Source organism: Homo sapiens, chromosome 7 (genome assembly GCF_000001405.40).
Source record: "Homo sapiens chromosome 7, GRCh38.p14 Primary Assembly".
In the NCBI taxonomy this organism is placed as follows: Eukaryota; Metazoa; Chordata; class Mammalia; order Primates; family Hominidae; genus Homo; species Homo sapiens.
Genome location: NC_000007.14, coordinates 118,002,612 through 118,006,032, shown reverse-complemented (window position 1 = coordinate 118,006,032; position 3,421 = coordinate 118,002,612). Strand labels below are relative to the sequence as shown.

The 3,421-nt window shown below is 42.3% G+C and overlaps 1 annotated feature.

Annotated features, from left to right (window-relative positions):
- Positions 2,398 to 2,987: an enhancer blocking element, noted in NCBI's record as "nonconserved region 19 (NR19) negative regulatory element (NRE) in the greater CFTR locus". NCBI's record gives its function as "modestly blocks activation of a gamma-globin promoter by the HS2 beta-globin enhancer when located between the enhancer and promoter in the forward orientation in transfected K562 cells {active_cell/tissue: K562}" and the evidence as "EXISTENCE:reporter gene assay evidence [ECO:0000049][PMID:18436892]".

The window sequence follows — 3,421 nt, the reverse complement described above, 5'->3', positions numbered from 1 at the left end:
GGAAAAGAGAAGAAGAGCTGGCCATCAGTACAATTATAGCACTGATCATACTCATCCTCAGTATTCATTGTCTCCTGTACCCTACTTCTCCTGTAGAATTCCCAGGCTCCCATTAAGACCTAGTTCCCTCTCCTCTTGTGGTTTCTCTCCTCTTCTCATCCACGGGTTGTTGTACTACAGAGCAATGCCTACTTTATCCAGAACCCTCAGCTAATGATGTGCTCCACGCTGACATTAATTTTTCAGGCAACTGAAGCTTACCTGTTGAACAGAAAACTTTTTAAAGTTGTAATGGCTTTGAATAGAAACTTTCTCAAACTCCTTTGCACTGTTTCCTATCTGTGAAAATACGAATTTAAATTCCCGTCTCTTTCTCTTGTAATATATTAAATCAATAACCATTCAATAAACATACAATGAGCATCCCTTATGTGACAGACTCAGACATACTCAAAGATGAATACAATAAATGCCCTTCCCTTTAAGGAGCCTACAGTCCAATTAGGATGAGGATGCTGAAGACAAATTCCTAAAGTCCAGGGCAAGAGAGGCTAGACCTGAGCTGTGAACAGGGCAGGGATAGGCATCTGTGAGACACAGAAGAGAAATGACTGCCAAAATGGGTGAGGAGGTGCCAGGATAGGCTTCTCAGAGGACTGGTAATCTTTATTAGGGATTCTGTTCTTCGGGGGAAGTCCAGACGGTCTGCAGTTTGAGTTCTTCTGTCTGGTCATTATGGTGCTTGCATTTTCCCCTCCTGCAGCCAGACTGTCAGCTGTCAGGACTTGCTACCGACAGTGTGCTTGCTCCCTACCAGCCTCTTCTAATTTGCATTTTTAATCATCTAACAACCAAGGCTTAGAGCCAAGCTCCTTAGAACCAGGGCTGCCTTTGTGTAAATAGGCTCTCAGCAAGTCTCCCACAGGCTCTGCTAGGATAACGGGCAAGAGGGTTGATTGCTTATTTCCATTGGATTATTTTGATTGCTTTGTGCTCTGTCCTGATTCTTAGGTTGCTTGTGCATTTGGTGGATAAACAACCTCTAAGAAAAATGAGGAGTCATTATAGGTTCATAATAGGAGGGGGTGAGGAGAAGGGTTTATTTTTTTTATTCCACAGTAATGCTTCCTTCCACCATTTTTTTTGTTCCAATAAAAAATAAAACCAAACACTTGGTTTGGTGTCTAGAAGTTCTCTGAAATATAATGGTTTGAAATTTCAATAAAATCATGATTTGTTGTTGAAGAATAGTGATTATACTCTCCTCTCTTTTCAAAACATCCTATAACAAAAATTAAAGGCCATCCAGCATAGTATAAAACAGGGTTCTCATCAAAAAAGCACTTACTAGCTATTATTCTTGCATGATTCTATGCAAAGATGTTCCTATGCATATAGCCCTCACCAAATATTTATTAAAGTGAATTGAATTAAATCTTCTTACCTTCTAGAGATCTAGTATAAATGAATACAGCTAACATGGCATGAATGATATCCACATTTACATTATGAATTGTACATGGAGTGTTTTCACAGCCCTGAGTTGCAGACATGCATGGAATTTGGCATACTTAAGTGTTCAGTAATATCACTTTTTACTAGTCTGTGAGGGATTCTAAGGTGAAATTGGACTTGAAGTCATATCTGAATGAAGCAGGGAGCACTTCTTTGTTAAGAAGATGAAAGGAATGTGTTGGGGAAGGGTGGCACTTCAGGGAGGCAGGGAGGCCGAGTGCTCTGGAGAAGGCCTAGAAGCTCCTGCAGGAAGGACAGACTGACCAGTCCTCAATGTTGTGATGTGTAGCACATTTTCAACTTAAAGAAAGCTGGGCTGCCAATACAAATCAAAAAAGTAATTTCTTGTTTTATACCTTCCCACTACAGATACCAACATTCTCAGGGCAGAGTGGGAGTTGGGGGGAGTCTATATGTTATTTTCAGAAGAATTCAGCCACCTGTAGAATACAACTGACTATTCTTAAAATTCCCGGGAAGTGGAAGCTGACTTTTCTGAAGGTGAGTTTGATGTGTGGCTTTTCTCTGAGTTGTGGGGCTGCTTGATGTTAGATGCTGATAGAGTGGGGAGGTAAGAGAATGCACAGTGGAGGAAGCAAAGAGGCTTTTCATGTCTGGAAATGCCTCATGTGAAACTTTAGGAGAGCATTTTCCGGGAACATCTGCCATGGAAGGAAGGGTGCCTCTCCATGGAGGCAGGATGCAGAGAGAGGGGTGCTTCAAACAGAGCCTCTGCTAGTCACTTCCTCAGCAGCTTGAGCTGTGATAGGGAACTGTGTGGGGGTGAGAAACAGACCCTGCAAGGCTCAAAGCCAGACAAGAGGAAGCTAAGTCAAAGCAGAGTCTGTTTTCTGTTTCCTTGTAATCATTTGCTTTGTTGAAAGCAAACCAGGCTGAGGATCCAGTTAGGATTTGTGATTTAGTTGGTTGGGAAATATCATTAGCATTTCTGAGGAATGTTGCCTCTTTACAACCACCTGAAACATTAACCAGCATGAAGAACTTAGGAACCAGATACTAAGGAACATGAAATGAAATCAAGACACCTTTTCATCTTAAAAGACACCTGGGTTGAGCAGGCAGAAACATGGTATATCTCTGGACCAGAAGAACTGTTGCTGGAGATAGCTGAGTTGATCAGGTAAAGAAGAGCCAGGTGATAAACAGGCAGGATATGTCCACTCATGAGGCTCCCTGTGTTAACCCCTGATCTTCTTACTTCCCCAGGCAGAGGGGCTTGGGAACACAGCACTGCTCCCTAATCTCCCTCACAACCATGTCTTTGTAATGAGTAATCAGGAACATCGCACTCAGCCAACTGATTTAGAGTACAAGAAACTACTTTGGTACAGGTGAGAAATCCCAGGGTAGCAGACTACAAACAGGTCAGCATATGACAGGTTCTTGCTTGGCACCACTAGATGCGTGATTTATTTTTACCCCACCATACTCCTCTGTCCTTGAGCAATCATCTCTACCTTGATGGTGTAAGGAAAGCAGACTTTCTGCTTAGCACATTCTGCCCCCGAGTCAGGCTGAAACTGCTCTCTCTAGGTCCTTCTCTAGCATCCTAAGCCAGATGCTCTAGTTCACCTGGTCCTCATGCCTTCGAGTCTCTAGAAAGTTTTGTTTCTAGGAACTGAATCTAATTCAGCTTTTTAATCTACTCGCTTTCAACCTTTGCTTTAATGAACCCAACTCCCTTCTGTAGGCACTGGTCTTTTTTCATTATTCACTTTTTTTTCCTAGTCTGCTTCACTTTGGCTTCATACTCTCATTTCCTCCCCAGAGCCTTTCCTTGTACCCTGTAAATTTAAAACAAGAGTACACCTGTAACACACAAGACATAGGAGAGGTAGATGTTCATCACAAAGATAGTGGGGGAGTCAATGAAACAAACCAGTTC